At 43.8% G+C, this 18,223-nt stretch overlaps 1 long non-coding RNA gene across 1 annotated transcript; it reads left to right on the top strand.

Annotated features, from left to right (window-relative positions):
- Positions 1–1,618: 1,618 nt before the first annotated feature.
- On the top strand, positions 1,619–17,151 carry LOC105370118 (uncharacterized). Its single transcript, XR_941759.1, has 4 exons — positions 1,619–1,810; positions 2,863–3,481; positions 3,765–4,043; positions 16,771–17,151. It is a non-coding gene; the product is annotated as an uncharacterized LOC105370118 (long non-coding RNA).
- The last annotated feature ends 1,072 nt before the right edge of the window (positions 17,152–18,223 follow it).

Below are 18,223 nucleotides of genomic sequence, written 5' to 3'. Positions count from 1 at the left end.
AGGAGCGAGAAAAGACACTTACGCCACCCCAGGTGGCCTGTGTGCCTCCCCAGCTTGGCATGGACCCACTTGGGAGACTATGCCAGGGCCAGGCCGCACCCCAGCCCAGGCCTCAGCAGGTGAAGCCCCAGCAGGAAGTAGGGCCCCAAAAGGCACATCACTCCATCCCATCACAGCAACCCAGAGCTTCAAGAAAAGAGGATGAGGCAAGCAGGCAGCCTGTGGAAGCCCCAAAAGAGGTGGGCACCTCTGTTTGCCTCCTCCCTGTCCCACCCAGGCCAGAGGCAGGTCTTCAGGGCCAGAGGATCACCTAGAGCTCCTCTAGTTACTCTCCCCAGATCTCATCCCAGAGAGCTTCAGCATCCTGTTGGGGAGCTCCCTGAAGCCCCCCACATCTGCCAGCCCCCTTCTCTTCCCCTCTGGGCCTCAGCTCTAGGGAGCCTTCCCCTAGGCAGAAGGAACTGGACACTCCCCTGTGAACTCAGAAATGCTTGCCTGTTCTCTTAACCCCTACCAGCTGCTTTATTCCTAAGAAGGTAACTGACCCTTGCCCCACCCCCAGTGGCTTTCATCGTCTCATCCTTGAGCGGACTGAAGAGTTTTATAGAGCCGGGTCCTGGGATCAGGAGCCTCACTTTAGGTGCTCAGGCGGGATCATGCTGAGGATCTTAATTAGGGCTTCCTTCAATAGATCCAGGACTGCTGTAATGGAAGCCCCAGCCATCTACACCAGCTTCCCAGGGACATGAGGCTGATGTCCTACCCACTAGTATGCTCCCAGTTTCCCCCAAATGAACAGCTGTGCCTTCCCCTGACCCAGTTCACCCCAGATAGAGGCCCTCAGTTGAGAAGGAGCTTCACTGATGCTGTCCCAGAAATTCTCCAACAGACTCTGCACAGCCCCTCATTCTCAGCATGAGATTCAGAACAACACACCAGTCCCCGTTTCCTCCGGGCCAGACCAGGCAGCTTTGGCTTGCCGGCCATGAGGTGGAAATCCAAGTGCTCCCCTAAGCAACTTGGTCATGGTGTGACCTTGGGCAAGTTGCTTCAACTCTTTTTTTTTTTTTGAGACAGAGTCTCACTCTGTCGCCCAGGCTGGAGTGCAGTGGTGCCATCTCGGCTCACTGCAAGCTCTGCCTTCCAGGTTCACACCATTCTCCTGCCTCAGCCTGCCAAGTAGCTGGGACTATAGGTGCCCGCCACCACGCCCGGCTAATTTTTTGTATTTTTAGTAGAGACGGGGTTTCACCGTGTTAGCCAGGATGGTCTCGATCTCCTGACCTCGTGATCCGCCCGCCTTGGCCTCCCAAAGTGCTGGGATTACAGGCTTGAGCCACCGCGCACGGCCTACTTCAACTCTTTCCCCCAATCTTTGCTAGGGGGAAGTCAGCCAGCCCCAATCTCCTCCTATCTAACCTGCCCCACTGACTCAGAAGCACAGCAGCACAAAGCCTGGTAGGTGGAGGCTGCCAACATTTGTTGCTCTGCCCAAACCTTGGCCTTGGTTAGGTCATCAGCAGAGCTGCCCTAGTACCTGTCTGTCACAACAAGTTAACTCCTCTGTGATGCGGACGTGGTCAGAGAGCCCCCCTAACACTGTCGCCATCCTGATTCCCAAGGCAGCCCTGGCCTGCTCACTGAAGCTGGGGAGAGAGGATGATGACAAGCTAAGACCACAAATCTCTCCTGAGGGAGTCAGGGGAGCAGGAGATGTGGGTGGTGCTGAGCTCCCACTGCCTCCCAGGGCAGAGAGGACCGCAGTCCAGTCCTCAACCTGTGCGAAAGGTTTGGGGAAATGACAACTGAGGTAGGTCTAGGAAGGGGCTTCTAGTCCCAAGGCCAGAGTCTGAGACATGATGGAGGGAACAGGGAGAACAGAAGGGGCCTGGGAGAAATGGAGAGAAGGCCCCACACATGCAAGCCATGGTGAGACCGAAGACAGGAGATGCCATCAGATACTGGGTTGGATGAAGCAAGAACCACAGGCCCCTGGCAGCAGGTTTTTCAGACAGGGCTTTCTCCCAGCACTGGGCCTGGCCCTGCCCTGGGGACATTTACATTTAACCTTGTGTATAAGATTATATTCATTTATAAGTTATATATATATATTTTATATATATACATTTTATATGTATATATTTTATATATATACATTATATATATATTTTATATAGATACATTATATATATTTTTATATAGATATATTATATATATATTTTATATAGATACATTATATATATATATTTTATATAGATATATTTTATATATATTATATATATTATATATATTTTATATATATATTTTATATATATTATATATATATTTTATAAATATATTTTATATATATATTATATATATTTATATATATTTTATAAATATTTTATATATATACTATATATATAATATATATATTATATATTATATATATATTATATATATTATATATATATTATATATAATATATATATTATATATAATATATATATTTTATATATAATATATATATTTTATATATAATATATATATTTTATATATATATAAAATTCACAAGTAGAAACAACATAATGACAATTATTTTAGAATTTTGGATTTTTATGATCTTCCTGGCCCCTGGTCCTTTGAGCAGGCAGCCTGAGATTTCAAAAAGGAGACAGTCTTCTAAGAAATAAAATGTGAACCATATGTGTATTTTAAATTTTCTAATAGCCACATATTAAAGAAACAGGTGAAATTGATTGTAATAATTTATTTGACCCAATATAGCCAAAATATGATCATTTTAATATGAGACCAGTATATAATTGTTAATAAAGTGTATAAGTTTTGGTACTAATTTTGGCAACTCTCTGGATTTTTAAGTTTCCAGCACACGTCAGTGCAAAGCAGCTTATTCCAGGTGCCCAGCAGCCCCACGTGGCCAGTGGCCACCACACTGAAGCGCAGCTCGGAGGACTCTGACTGCCCTGAGCTGAGGGAGGTGACGGGTCTGAAACACTCTTTTCTGCCAGAAGTTAGGGGACACCTCCTCCCTCCCAACAGCTCTCTTCAGGCCCAAGAGTGAGAGATGGTGCCTCTAGAGGGCAGGGGCTACAAGAACAAAGTGTCCACAGGTTTCCCTGCTGCCCACCTGCTGCCCATCGTCTTTCCAGAGATCAGAAAATGAACAAAGGATGATGGGGCCCCCAAAAGGAGGAAACCCAGTGTCTTCAGATCTGTCCACAGCCTTGACCTACGAAGTTTAGATATGGAGGGAATAGATTAAAGGCACACTTACTTTGCTATTTGGCCTTGACCCTAACGGTCAGGCTGTGTACATTTGTTTCCTCACATGCTGTGGAGGACTGCGTAGTTTAAGCACCAATTACATGCAGACATGTCTACATGCATTTCTGTGTAACTCGATGCCATCAAGCAAGAGGCCCAACTTTAAATAAGAGGAAAAGAAAATCAGCAACTGTAGGGTGTCTTCTGTTTGCAGGTAACTTGTAATCAACCTGTCCTTGAATCCTAGCATCCTATCTGCACTGGGTGCATGTATTATTTAGCTATTGCTGCATAACAAATCACCCAAAACTTATTCACTCATGATTGAGCTGTTCAGCCATTTGGGCTGGGCTCAGCTGGGCCATTCTTCTGGACCCAGCTGGGCCCCTTTGGACATGTGTGCTTAACTTTTGGTTGACTAGGCATCTCTGCTTCTGGGGGTGAGTTGGCTGTCAACTGTGGCACTTTGCTTCTCATGGTTTCTCGTCCTCCAACAGGCTAGCACAGACTTGCTCTTATGGAAATGGTAGAATTCTGAAAGAAAAACAAAGCATTCAAGAACTTTTGAGCCTAAGCCCCAAGCTGGCACACTGTTATGTTTGCAGTCTTCTATTGGCCACAGCAAATAAGGCCAGCTGAGATCCAAGGTTTGGGAAACAGAGTCTGCTTCTTAATGAGAACATCTGTACAAGCACACTGCAAAGGGTCTGGATACAGGGAAGGATGATGAATTGATGCCATTTTTGCAATCAGTATCACTATGCATTTTCTTGCAGGTGAGGTTTATATAAGTGTTTCAAGTCAGGGAACTTGTCCAAAGCCCCACAGCAACTAAGAGGCTGGACAGGGACTCAGGACCAAGTCGGCCTGACGTCGACGCCCATGACTTCCATAGCCCACACTACTCATGCAGCTTCCGTAAATTTTTGAAGTCCTGGAGGGTGACTCTTCTGCAGTTTAAGCAAGAATCCCATGGGATTCTCATCCATCTAGTACTCTTCACCATTTGCAATATTTCCCTCCAGAGAATGTTTCTGAAGTGTCTTGGGAAAAGTTGGAATAATTTGGGGAAATGGCGGAGGGCCATTTAGGAAATCAAGGCCCAATATTATATTTTTCATTCCTCATCATAGGAGAAATTTGAAAGCATGATAATGCACTCCACATGTGTGCAAATCCTTTTTTTTTTTTTGAGATGGAGTCTCACTCTGTTGCCCAGGCTGGAGGGCAGTGGCGCGATCTCAGCTCACTGCAACCTCCGCCTCCCAGGTTCATGCCATTCTCCTGCCTCAGCCTCCTGAGTAGCTATGAGTAGCTGGGACTACAGGTGCCCACCACCACGCCTGGCTAATTTTTTTGTATTTTTAGTAGAGATGGGGTTTCACCATGTTAGCCAGGGTGGTCTCGATCTCCTGACCTCATGATCAGCCCGTCTTGGCCTCCCAAAGTGCTGGGATCACAGGCATGAGCCATCGCAGCCGGCCAAAGTATTATGTGCAAATTCTTTTGATCTCTTTTTGGTATTTGTAGACTATTTATGATTGTCTTTTCTTTTTTTTTTTCTGAGACAGAGTCTTGCTCTGTTGCCCAGGCTGGAGTGTAGTGGCTCAATCTTGGATCACTGCAACCTCTACCTCCCAGGTTCAAGCAATTCTCCTGCCTCAGCCTCCTGAGTAGCTGGCATTATAGGCACATGCCACCACACCCAGCTAATTTTTGTATTCTTAGTAGAGATGGGGTTTCACCAGGTTGGCCAGGCTGGTCTCGAACTCTTGACCTCGTGATCCACCCACCTCAGCACGCCTGTTTATGATTTTCATCATAAACTACTGTGCCAGAGACAACCTCTTACTCAGAACGCAAGTGACATAAAGATAGATCTGCTGGGAGACACTTCCTCCTGCTGCCACTGAACCACACAGTTGAGTACATCTTGAAGTTGTTCTCTAATTTTTAACACAGCAAAGCTTTTTTCCAAAAATCCAAATGCAGCAATGGCCATGGGGCAAATTGCTACAGCACACATGGAAATGAGGCACAGCTAATGCACCTCTCACCATGAACCAGTAGTTCTCACCTCTGGCTGCACATTAGGATCACATGGGGGCTTTTAAAAATCCCCCTAAACCCAAGTTGCAACAGACCAATGAACCCAGAATTCCTGGAGTGAAACCAGGACATCAGTATTGTTAAAAGCTCCCCAGGAATGGAGAGGGGTGGTGGTTCACACCTCTAATTTCAGCACTTTTGGTGGCTGAGGTGGAGGATACTTTGAGCCCAGGAGTTGGAGGATGTAGTGAGCTATGATTACGACACTGCACTCCAGCCTGGGTGATGGTGACAGAGCCAGATTTCATCTTAAAAATAAATAAATAAATAAACAACAGCTTTCCATAGTGTGCAGCCAGTCCTCAAAACTGCTGCTTTAAACCAACATTTTTTGGTAAACTCTTTGCAAGTGTTTCTCAAATGAATGTAAAAACATTTGCTGCTGAGTTGCGGCCTTTCAATCTTCCTTGCATTACCTATTTACTTCTCTTGGAAGGAACTGACCTCTACTTCCTGTTTTGTCCCAAATCTAACCCAGATTTACAAGTTTCCCAGGGCACTGTGCTAGGTGCCAGGGCCTTGGTGAGCAGCACGGTTGGGGGAGGACTTTGCTGAAAAAAAGTGCATCATGAAAAATAAAAACCATGCCACTTACCAAGGGTTAGGACATGAATAAATATCTCAAAATATTAAAAGTCATCTGATAATGCCATGAGTGAACATATCCTGTTTTAAAACAAACAACAGTGCTGCCATTGTTCTGAGATGCTGTTAGGATTTTTGTGTTTAAATGTAATATTTAAAATTGTTATTGATATTGTAACATGCATACAGAAATGCATGCACAAAGCATTCATGTAAAGCTCAGTGCGTTATTACAAAGTGGATAAACTTGTGTGACCAAGGAATAGAATCAGCCTCTATCATGCCTGAAAATCACTTTTTCTTGCCCTCCCCTGAAAAGATAACCAAAATTTTAAGAACATTGTAGATAACTTGTCTTTTTAGACCAGTGTTTTATTATAGAAAATTTTAAACACAAAGTAGACAAAATAGTATAATAGACCCGTCACCCAGCCTCAAAAACTACTATTCATGTGCCTTTTTTATTTCATCTATACTTCAACCCATTTTCCATCCCATCATTTCTTTTAGTTCTTTTTTTTAAAAAATGAGCTCAAATGTACACATATTCATAGGCACAAAAATTAACTGTATATTTTTGACAATTAAATACACCCATATAACCTTCACCCATTTTAAGAATAGAATAATTAGGCAGGGCACGGTGGCTCATGCCTGTAACCTCAGCACTTTGGGAGGCCAAAGTGGGTGGATCACCTGAAGTCCGGAGTTCGAGACCAGCCTGACCAACATGGCAAAATTCCGTCTCTACTAAAAATACAAAAATTGGCCACTTGTAGTGGCGGGTGCCTATAATCTCAGCTACTCAGGAGGCTGAGGCAGGAGAATTGCTTGAACCCAGGAGACAGAGGTTGCAGTGAGCTGAAATTTTGCCATTGCACTAAGAATAGAATAATTTTGGCTGGGCGCGGGGGCTCACGCCTGTAATCCTAGCACTTTGGGAGGCCAAGGTGGGTGGATCATGAGGTCAGGAGATCGAGACCATCCTGGCTAACATGATGAAACAACGTCTCTACTAAAAATACGAAAAATTAGCTGGGCGTGGGGGCGGGCGCCTGTAATCCCAGCTACTCGGGAGGCTGAGGCAGGAGAATGGCGTGAACCCGGGAGGCAGAGCTTGCAGTGAGCCGAGATCATGCCACTGTACTCCAGCCCGGGCTACAGAGCGAGACTCCATCTCAAAAAAAGAATAGAATAATTCCATTATCCCCAGGAATTTTCTCATATTCCTTCCCAGGCAAATTTTTCTTTCCCCAGGGGTTATTTTTATTCTGACTTTTTTCACCATAGGTTCATTTTGCCTGAAATCACACAATATGTATTATTTGGTGTCCAGCTTGTCTCATGTAGCAAGTTTAGGAGATTCGTCTATGGTGTGTTCTTCAGTAGTTTGTTCCTTTCTGTGGTTGAAGAGTCTTCTGTTGCATGAATGCTCTACAGTTTGTTCATCTGTTTTCCTAGTGATGAACATTTTGTTTGTTTGTTTGTTTTACTTTTATTTTAAGTTCAGGGGTACATGTGCAGGTTTGTTACGTAGGTAAATGTATGTCATGGGGGTCTGTTATACAAAATACATATAATATTTTGCCTAACCCTCTCCCTCAATGCACCTCCACCCTCCACTAGGTCCGAGTGTATGTTGTTCCCCTCTATGTGTCCATGTGTTCTCATCATTTAGCTCCCACTTATAAGTAAGAACATGCGGTATTTGGTTTTCTGTTCCTATGTTAGTTTGCTAAGGATAATGGCTTCCAGCTCCATCCATGTCCCTGGAAAGGACACGATCTCATTCTTTTTTTATGGCTGCATAGTATTCCATGGTGTATATATACTGCATTTTCTTTATCCACTCTATCATTGATGGGCATTTAGGTTGATTCTATGTCTTTGCTATTGTGAATAGTACTAGATTGAACATACATGTGCATGTGTGCTCATAATAGAATGATTTATATTCCTTTGGGTAGATACCCAATGGGATTGCTGGGTTGAATGGTATTTCTGTCTTTGGGTCTTTGAGGAATTGCCACACTGTCTTCCATAATGTGTTGCAGGAAGTCATGGACCCCAAACGGCAGGACCGGCTGGAGCCACAGCAGAGGATCATAAATTGTGAAGATTTCATGGACATTTATCAGTTCCCAAATAATACTTTCATAATTTCTTATGCCTGTCTTTATTTTAATCTCTTAATCCTGTTATCTTTGTAAACTAAGGTTGTACATCACCTCAGGACCACTGTGATAATTTTGTTAACTGTACAAATTGATTGTAAAACATGTGTGTTTGAACAATAGGAAATCAGTGCACCTTGAGAAAGAACAGAATAACAGTGATTTTTAGGGAACAAGGAAAGACAACCATAAGGTCTGACTGCCTGCGGGGTCAGGTAAAAAGAGCCATATTTTTCTTATTGCAGAGAGCCTATAAACTGACGTGCAAATAGGAGAGATATTGCTAAATTCTTTTCCTAGCAAGGAATATTAATATTAACACCCTGGGAAAGGAATGCATTCCTCGCGGGAGGTCTATAAATGGCTGCTCTGGGAATGTCTGTCTTATGCAGTTGAGATAAGGACTGAGATATGCCCTGGTCTCCTGCAGTACCCTCAGGCTTACTAGGGTGGGGAAAAACTCTGCCCTGGTAAATTTGTGGTCACACTGTTTCTCTGCTCTCGAACCCTGTTTTCTGTTATTTAAGATGTTTATCAAGACAATATGTGCACTGCTGAACATAGACCCTTATCAGTAGTTCTGCTTTTGCCCTTTGTCCTGTTCCCTCAGAAGCATGTGATCTTTGTTAGACCCTTACTAGCAGTTCTGCTTTTTGCCTTTTGAAGCATGTGATCTTTGTACCTACTCCCTGTTCTTACACCCCCTCCCCTTTTGAAACCCTTAATAAAAACTTGCTGGTCTGAGACTCAGGCAGGCATCATGGTCCTACTGATAGGTGATGTCACCCCTGGTGGCCCAGCTGTAAAATTCCTCTCTTTGTACTGTCTCTCTTTATTTCTCAGCCGGCCGACACTTACGGAAAATAGAAAGAACCTACGTTGAAATATTGGGGGCAGCTTCCCCCAATAATAGTAGTTGAACTAATTTACATTCCCACAAGTGTTCCCTTTTTTCCCAGAACCTCAACAGCATCTGCAATTTTTTGACTATTTAATAATAGTCATTCTGTCTGGAGTGAGATGGTGTCTCATTGTGGTTTTGATTTGCATTTCTCTAATGGTTAGTGATGTTGAGCATTTTTTCATATACTTGTTAGCCACATGCATGTCTTCTTTTGGAAAGTGTCTATTCATGTCTCTTGCCTACTCCCTTCCACCCTCATTTTGTACCACTTCTCTTTACCCTGTTCCAGATATGCTAGCTCTCTTTCAGTTGTATAAGTAGGTCAAGCTCTTTCTAGCCTCAGAATCTTCTGCCTAGAACTCTTTTCCCTGTGCTACTTAAAAAAATACTATCAAATATTTTAGCCACACAAAAAAGAATAAAGAAGTATCTGTGCCCATGTACCTTCCAACCAATTTAATAAATAACCTAGTTTTATTAATAAATCTAGATTTATTCACGTGTTGGCCGATTCTTTATTCTTCCTTGTGTTTCATATCTTCTTTCTACAGTAATTTTTGTTCTTCAAGGACATTCTGAAGAAGTGCCTTTAGCTGAGGGTATGCTATTGGTGAATGATGTCAGTTTTTAATTGGATAAAAATGTATTTTTATCTCACCCTCATTCTCGAGTAATTGTTTAGTAATATAAAAGTCTAGGCTGACAGGTTTTTTTTTGTTTTTCTAAATTTGAAAATATAATTTTATTGATTTCTGACTTCTATTACTGCTATCGAGAAATTTTCTTACAGTCAAATTGTCTTTCCATATAGGTAAGTTATTATTTTTCTTTGGTATTATATACATTCATTATAATATTAAGGTGTAGATATTCATTTACCCTGCTTGGGATTGATTATAATTCTTGGATTTGAGCATTCTTGTCTTATTGGTCTGGGAAATTGTTAGTCATTTGTCTCTTTAAATTTTACCTCTTCCTTGTCATTTTCTTCTAGAACTGCTATTAGGCAGTAAATTGGACCTTCTCACTCTACACTTTGTTTCTGTTAACCTCTGTTTTATATTTTCCATTTCTTTCTCTCTCTGTGCTGCATTCTGAATAATTTTTTCAAATATATATTTCAGTTAATTAATTTTCTCTTTAATGTATTTTGTAATTTTAGATTATAAACTCATGTTTGAAAGGGTTGACTTGTGGGAATACTGTGAGGCCTGTATTAAGGGTACATTTCTCCAGATTTTGTTTTTGTTTTGTTAAGGTGCTCCAAGGCACTGTGAGTCTAGGGCTACTATAATTTCTTGGCTTGTATTTTCCTGGACTACTTGAAGATCATTATATTGAATCCTAAGCCCACCCGAGGGCAGGTGTGCTTAGATTATCAGGGGAGTTTTCTGGGTTTTTTCTGCACTCAAATGTATACAAGATAGAAAACTTTTTTGCTTTTTAGCCTCCCTGTTCACTCCCACCTGCAGTATATGAATCTTTTATGAAAATACTTAGAAAAACACTTGACAGCTGTTTTTTTGTTTTTTTTTTTTTGTCTTATTTTTGCTAACTCATTGAAGGCACTATGAGAGCTCCTTGTGGCTTTAGTTTGCATTTCTCTAATGACTAAGGAACCTAACATCTTTTTCATGTTTATTGGTAATTTAGGCTTTTGTATTATTACTTGCCTTTTGGGTTGTCTCTTACAGTTTTGTAGCTATTATTTATTTATTTTAGATCCCATTGCAAATATACTCTTCCAGGCTATGACTTGCTTTTTAACTTTGTTTATATCTCTTATTGTCGAAAGATGTTTTATTTTTCTATGGTATTTTCATTAAGATTTACGATTTTCAAGTATGGTTTGAGAAATCCTTTCTGATTCATTGTATTTATTTTCCATAATTTGTTTTGTATTCCATTCCATGTTTATTCCATAAATATCTTCCATATTTGTTCTCTTCCATAAGCTTTGTTGCCTTCTTTTCCTGTTTAAAATTCAGCTTTGTTGTTGTTAGTATTTTTGCAGGAGTGGGGTGCTGTTGGGTGCAATAGAAAACTCAAGAGCCCACTAATTGATACAGACAGGGTCATGAACCTTGATTTACCTTTTACACATTGCTGTAGTGCCATCTCAAAACATGGAGGGAGAGAGAGAGACAGACAGACAGACAAGCATAGATATTCTATGATGGCATTTTATTGGGTTGTTTTTTTTTTTTTTTTTTTTTGAGATGGAGTCTCGCTCTGTCACCCAGGCTGGAGTGCAGTGGCGCAATCTCGGCTCACTGCCACCTCTGCCTCCCAGGTTCACGCCATTCTCCTGCCTCAGCCTCCAGAGTAGCTGGGACTACAGGCGCCCGCCACCATGCCTGGCTAATTTTTTTGTATTTTTAATAGAGACGGGGTTTCACCATGTTAGCCAGGATGGTCTCGATCTCCTGATCTTGTGATCCGTCCACCTCGGCCTCCCAAAGTGCTGGGATTATAGGCGTGAGCCACCGCGCCTGGCCATTTTATTGTGGTTTTTAATAAAGGCTCAAGTATATTTTAACTTTGAGCCTGTTTTTGTTTTAATAAAACCTTGCATTTACCATTTTTCTTCTAGATTTACTGAAAGTATCAGGTGGTAATTAAAATAATTTATAGTCTGGGTGTGGTGGCTCATGCCTGTGATCACAGCATTTGGGAGGCCGAGGCGAGTGGATCACCTGAGGTCTAGAGTTTGAGACAAACCTGGCCAACATGGTGAAACACCATCTATACTAAAAAAAAAATATACAAAAAATTAGTCGGGTGTGGTGGCGGGCACCTGTAATCCCAGCCACTCGGGAGGCTGAGAAGGGATAATCGCTTGAACCCGGGAGGTGGAGGTTGCAGTGAGCCAAGATCGTGCCATTGCACTCCAGCCTGGGCAACAAGAACGAAACTCCGTCTCAAAATAATAACAATAATAATAATAATTTATAATACAGCACTCTCAGCATATACAGCATGTGCTCACATGTCAGACCACAGATGGCAGCAGGGAGAACTTAGCACCAGCCAGCATGACACAGTCTCAAAACACACCAGAGGGCGCCAGACCCACACCAAACCATTTTTTTTTTTTTTTTTTTTTTGAGACAAAGTCTCTGTTGCCAGGCTGGAGTGCAGTGGCGCGATCTTGGCTCACGGCAAACTCCACCTCCCAGGTTCAAGCAGTTCTCCTGTCTCAGCCTCCTGAGTATCCGGGACTACAGGTGCACTCTGCCAAGCCCAGCTAATTTTTTGTATTTTATTAGAGACGAGGTTTCACCGTGTTGCACAGGCTGGTTTCAAACTCCTGAGCTCAGGCAATTCGCCCGCCTCGGCCTCCCACAGTGGTGGGATTGCAGGCGTGAGCCACCGCGCCCAGCCACCAAACGATATTAGTAGTTTGGTTTTTGCAGTTAGTTTTTGAAGGTAGTTTTCAAGTCCTTTGCCACTTTGCCTCTGACCTTTCTATCCTTAGTCACTAAAAGCAGAGGTGAGCAGTGAAAAGGTTCAAGCTGTTCTCCATACATGTTTCAGAGGAGGTGGAATACCCAACTCTATGACGAAGTGGCTGGCTTTTTTCTTAGAAATTATAGGGCAGTGGAGTAGGAATGACTTTTAGAAATTCCAGAATCCCACCTCCTCGTTTAGGATGGGACAGCTGAAGCTAAGAACCACTCTAACCTTCTTGGGATTGAGCAAGAGCCCTGGGGGTCCTGATTTTCAGACATGCTCCTGCACTTAAAAACTCTTGCTTTGGGAATTACAACAGAGAAGGACTACACAAACATGAATTTTTGGATAAATGGAGAGATACTATTGCTGCTTCAGGCCAGATTTGAGGACCTTTTGTAGATCAGCAAACTTCAAACTTGCTGCTATGAGGAGTTAGGGGACAAGACAGGGGCTACTATTTTTTCTTGAGAAATAGCCCCATATTAAGCTCTGGGACATTATAACTAAAAGTTGGGTAGGTGACCTGCAGAGCCTGAGGACATGTGCCCTGTGAGCCTCCCTACGTGGGGGGCAGAGCATTAGGACCCACCCACTGTCCTCTCCCTCACTCCTTCAGGACTCCAACACTAGCCCTCACTGACCCTTCCTCCATCCATTCATCAGAGGCCTTCTCCATCTGCCTGTCAGGGTGGAGGACTGCTCTCCTGACCAAGCAGGATGTGGGCGACAGGTAGAGAGCTCAGACACCTCCAGCTTAAAAATCTCTTTCTTGGAGAGGCTGCAGATGTTCCAGCCCTGGAGGTTCTGATTCAGGAGGTTGGAGATGGAGCCCAGGCCAGTGTCCTTTTACAGCTGTCCTGGTGCTGGATGTGCCTGGACTGCATCCTGCATTGAGAGAGAGCTTGCCTTGCCTTACAGAGTTGAGGCTGCATCTTCTGACTCCTCGGTGTTTCACGTGCATTTCTCTAGTTCCTTCCATTCCCTGGCATACATTCACTGCTGCGAGCATCAGGGTTTCTCCTTCCAAAAACATGAAGCTGTAGACACTGTGAAACAATATCTATGTTTCCAGGGATTGCGTTTGTTTGCACTGAGGCAAGTTATTATGCTTAGGAAACCTCAGAAGGGCACCAGTCCTAGCCCATGCCCTGCGTCTACTCTATTGTGAGGCTGGCCAAGGGAAGCAAGTTTGGGATCGACTTTTCTTTCTTTTTTTCTTTTTTTTTTGAGTCTAAATCTCCCTATGTTGCCCAGGCTGGCCTCCAGCTCCTGGGTTCAAGTGATCCTCCTGCTTCAGCCTCCCCAGTAGCTGGGAGGGGCTGACTTTTAAGAGCAAAATGCAGCCTGTTGTTTTAGATGGCCACAGAATGGATCCATGTTAGTCACTGATGGTGCCCGCCACTGGCTGCTGGGTGCCGGCCCCAGGGCGTTTCCTGGGAGCTACCACAGGCACCTGGCTGGGGTGGAGTTGTGGGGGTCCACACACCTGCAGCTGCTCCTCCTGCATGGCCAAACTCTGATCTGGCCTCCTCTGTGGTGGGAAGACTCTCCATCCCTCCTTCCAGCGTCATAATAGAATAAGAAGTTGAATAGATCCCGAAGCAAAGTCCCGTCTCAGCTCTCATGGGCTCATCACAGCAGTTTTTGGCTACCACTTTCTGTCCTGCATGCCTTCCTACTCTCTCATTCTCTAGTTGGATGTGCATTCCATGCAGTTCACCAACCCTGGTTACGATTCCAATGCAGATGGATCCATTTCAACAATGGCTTCAGAGAGAAGATGAAGAAACAAATGAGGGCCTGTTGAAGCCTAATGGGGTAAGGGGAATTTGAGATTGTGGAAGAATGGCAGCCAGATCATGAGGTCAAGAGATCGAGATCATCCTGGCTGACATGGTGAAACCCCGTCTCTACTAAAAATATTTTTAAAATTAGCCGAGTGTGGTGGCACGTGCCTGTAATCCCAGCTACTGGGGAGGCTGAGGCAGGAGAATTGCTTCAACCCAGGAGGTGGAGGTTTCAGTGAGCCGAGATCGTGCCACTGTACTTCAGCCTGGCGACAGAGACTCCATCTCAAAAAAAAAGAAAAGGAAAAAGAAGAAAAGAATGGCAGCCCAGTGGAGTGGGCACCCTGAGACACAGCACGCTCACAAGGGGAATGCAATTCTGAGCCTTCTTTCCCCTCTCAGAGCTTCTCTTCTTATTTCTCCCCACTTCCTCTTCTTTCATCATACAGGCAAGTAAAACTCCCATCTGAATTGACAAGTATTTCTGAAAATACTTATTCCACATACATGAGCCTACCTGTTTTAGTGAAACAGTACTTTAATTGTCGAAGTTCACCACTGTACTGACACCTTAAGCTGCTTCCAAATCCCCAGTGCCTCCTTCAGACTTCCCCACTCACCAGCACCACCTGCTCTTCAGATCCCTGTCCTTATCAGCACCCTCCATCCTGGCACACAATTATGCATGCTCTTTTACTGGTCTTTAACTGTTTCACCTGGGTTAGTCTTGTTTTTGAGGCTAATTGCATGTTCCTAAAGACGGCCACCATCCGATGTCACCCTATGTGCTCCCCTTTAATGTAATATTGACCCTCTTCCAGTTGGTGGTGGGTCTGGAAGCTGGTGGATAAGGAAGAGAGTGATACCCAGTGATGCTGGGAAGGTGGGCAAAGGCAGGGCTGGCAGAGCGTGGCAGGTGTGATGAAACATTGTCCTTTATCACACAGGGGAATGATGTAATCCAACTGCTTTTTCTGTCTTTCATGCTATAAGAAGCAGTTGGTAGCAACGAATACAAGAGCTGCAGTTTTGTTTTTTTAGCTCCAGGATAAGGATGTTATAAAAATTATGAGGTCATTATTTTGGACTAAGATCCTGCACTGGGCTCCAGCTCACCAGACCAGAAGCCAAGATGGAGTCACTCATACTAAAGTTCCATGTCACCAAACCAAATCATCTGACTCTTGGAGAAATCAGGAGATAGAGATAATATCCCCAAATAGGCCAGTTTCAGTCAACATGATAATAAAGTTCCCTCTGCCTTTAATCTGCACAACAAAAAGTAACCTGAAATAGGCCAGGCATAGTGGCTCACGCCTGTAATCCCAGCCTTTTGGGAGGCCGAGGTGGGTGGATCACCTGAGGTCAGGAGTTCAAGACCAGCCTGGCCAACATGGTGAAACCCCGTCTCTACTAAAAATACAAAAATTAGCTGGCATGGTGGCGGGCATCTGTAGTCCCAGCCACTCGGGAGGCTGAGGCAGGAGAATTGCTTGAACCCAGGAGGTGGAGGCTGCTGTGAAGCCGAGATTGTGCCACTGCACTCCAGCCTGGGCAACAGAGCAAGACTCTGTCTCAATAAAAAAAAAGAAAAAAGTAACCTGAAATAACTTGATGTTAACTAATCAGTTACCTTTCTATTGTTCTGTTTTCCTGTTTCCACCTTACAAGGAAAGTAACTTTGAAAGGATCAATACTCCTTTTCTTGTTTGTTTCTGCTTTCTTCTACCCTTTTTTGTCTATAAAACCAACTCCTTCTGCTCAGTTTATTGGAACACTTATCCTATTTTACAGAATGGAGCGTTGCCTGATTCTAGAATCACAAAGCCAATTAAGATCTTCAAATTCATTCAAATTCTGTCTTTTGACAAAGAGCTATTATAGCTGGGAGACTCTCCTACCCAGGATCTTGTTCAGGAGGAGGAGAAGAAGGGAAATGGGCCTCCACCACAGGGCGGGGCAGTGTAGTAGGAAGGCTCAGGTCCAGCAAACTGGACTATATGGACACCTATGAGCTATGTGACCTTGGGGCAAGTTGTGTCCTCTCTGAGCCTCTGTTTCCTCATCTGCAAAATGGGGATGATAATGGTGCCCACCTGGACAACCTGCCCAGGATGGGGATGATAATGGTGCCCACCAGCACCTGCCCCACGGAGGGATCTGGTGAACACAGGAACAAGAACAGGAGCTCCTGATTCCCAGCTTGCTCAGCCTCTGGTTTAGTCTCTCCACCTTTAAAGACTTTAAGTGAGGTGTGCACTGGAGTCATGAAGGGAGGCAGGTAGGCGTGAGTCAGTCACTGACTATCTGAGCGACTTTAGGCAAATTGTTCTCTCAGGAACTCATTCTCTTCCCCTGTGAACTGCCCAGATCATTTCTAAGGTTGGTTATGAGGATCAACTTGAAAGGGCTTTGCAAACATCTGTTGCGAACGAGTGTGAAGTATGCGTGTTGCTCTTAATTGACATTTGACCTCCCATGTTCCCAGAGCTACTAATGTGTGGACAGAGTCTGCGGCCGTGGCAGGTGGCACACACTGGCAATGATGACCAGAGCCACGGTGACAGTGGCAGCCTGCTCCCTGGACTCTGCGTCCCGAAGCACGTGCCAGGCTGCAGCAGCATCCACAGTGGACAGGGAGCCACGGGAAGCGGGCTGCCATCAAGCCACAATTTCACCAGCTCTGCTCTTGGGTGGAACCACTACTTCCCGCCAGAGCTTGCAGATGAAGCAAAGAGGGGCCATGGAGGGATCCAGGGCTGACTGCTTGGAGCCTTGGTTTTCCTGCATTTTACAAATGGAGTTGTAGTCATAAACCTGCCACCTCATTTAATTTCCAGTGATGCTGTAAAACTAAACGAAATTTTGAAAATTGTGTAAGACCATTCAAATGCTTTTGAGGTTTTATTTTTTATGTTAATATATAGCTGTATTAATATAATACAATATAATAATGCAATACTTTCACTATGGAAAGTATTCTTGGGGAATGCGAGCTCTTCAAGTAGAAGAGACTCAACTAAATATTTTTGGATTTCCCAGGCATTAGTTAAGCTGCTGTTTATGAGAAATGGTGTCACACAATGACTAAAAGCACAGACTTTGGAGTCAGGCTGATCAGGCTTGATTCCTGACTTTGCTGCTTAAAGCTAATTTTGCATGCCTGGGCAACTTAGCCTCTCTGCATTGCAGTTTTCTAATCTGCAAGACAGGTTGATAATATAGTTGTCCCTCAGTATTCGTGGGGAATTGGTTCTAGTATTCCCCTTGGATACCAAAATCCACTGATGCTTAAGTCTCTGATGTAAAATGGTGTATTTGTATATAACCTACACACATCCTCCCATATATGTTAAATAACCTCTAGATTACTCATAACTCATACAATGTAAATGCTATGTAAATTGTTGTTGTACTGTATTGTTTAAGCAATAATGACAAGGAAAAATAGTCTATATATTCAGTACAGAAGCAAACCATCCTTTTTTTTTTTCCTGAGATGGAGTCTCACTCTGTCGCAGGCTGGAGTGCAGCGGCATTATCTCGGCTCACCATAGCCTCCGCCTCCTGAGTTCAAGTGATTCTCCTGCCTCAGCCTCCCAAGTAGCTGGCATTATAGGTGCCTGCCAGCATGCCCAGCTAATTTTTGAGTTTTAGTAGAGACAGGGTTTCACCATGTTGGCTAGGCTGGTCTCAAACTCCTGACCTCAAGTGATCCGCCCGTCTGGGCATCCCAAAGTGCTGGGATTACAGGCATGAGCCACTGCCACCGGCCATCCATATTTTTTTCCAAATACTTTCAATCCCCAGTTGGTTTAATGCATGGATTCGGAGGGCTGACTGTATAGTACCCACCTCTTAAGGTTATTATGAGAATTCAATGAGTTAACCTGTATCAAAGTGCTTTGAAGAGTGTCTGGCAAATAATAAGCACCATGGAA

Source organism: Homo sapiens, chromosome 13 (genome assembly GCF_000001405.40).
Source record: "Homo sapiens chromosome 13, GRCh38.p14 Primary Assembly".
NCBI lineage: Eukaryota > Metazoa > Chordata > Mammalia > Primates > Hominidae > Homo > Homo sapiens.
This window is presented reverse-complemented; position numbering and strand designations above follow the sequence as displayed.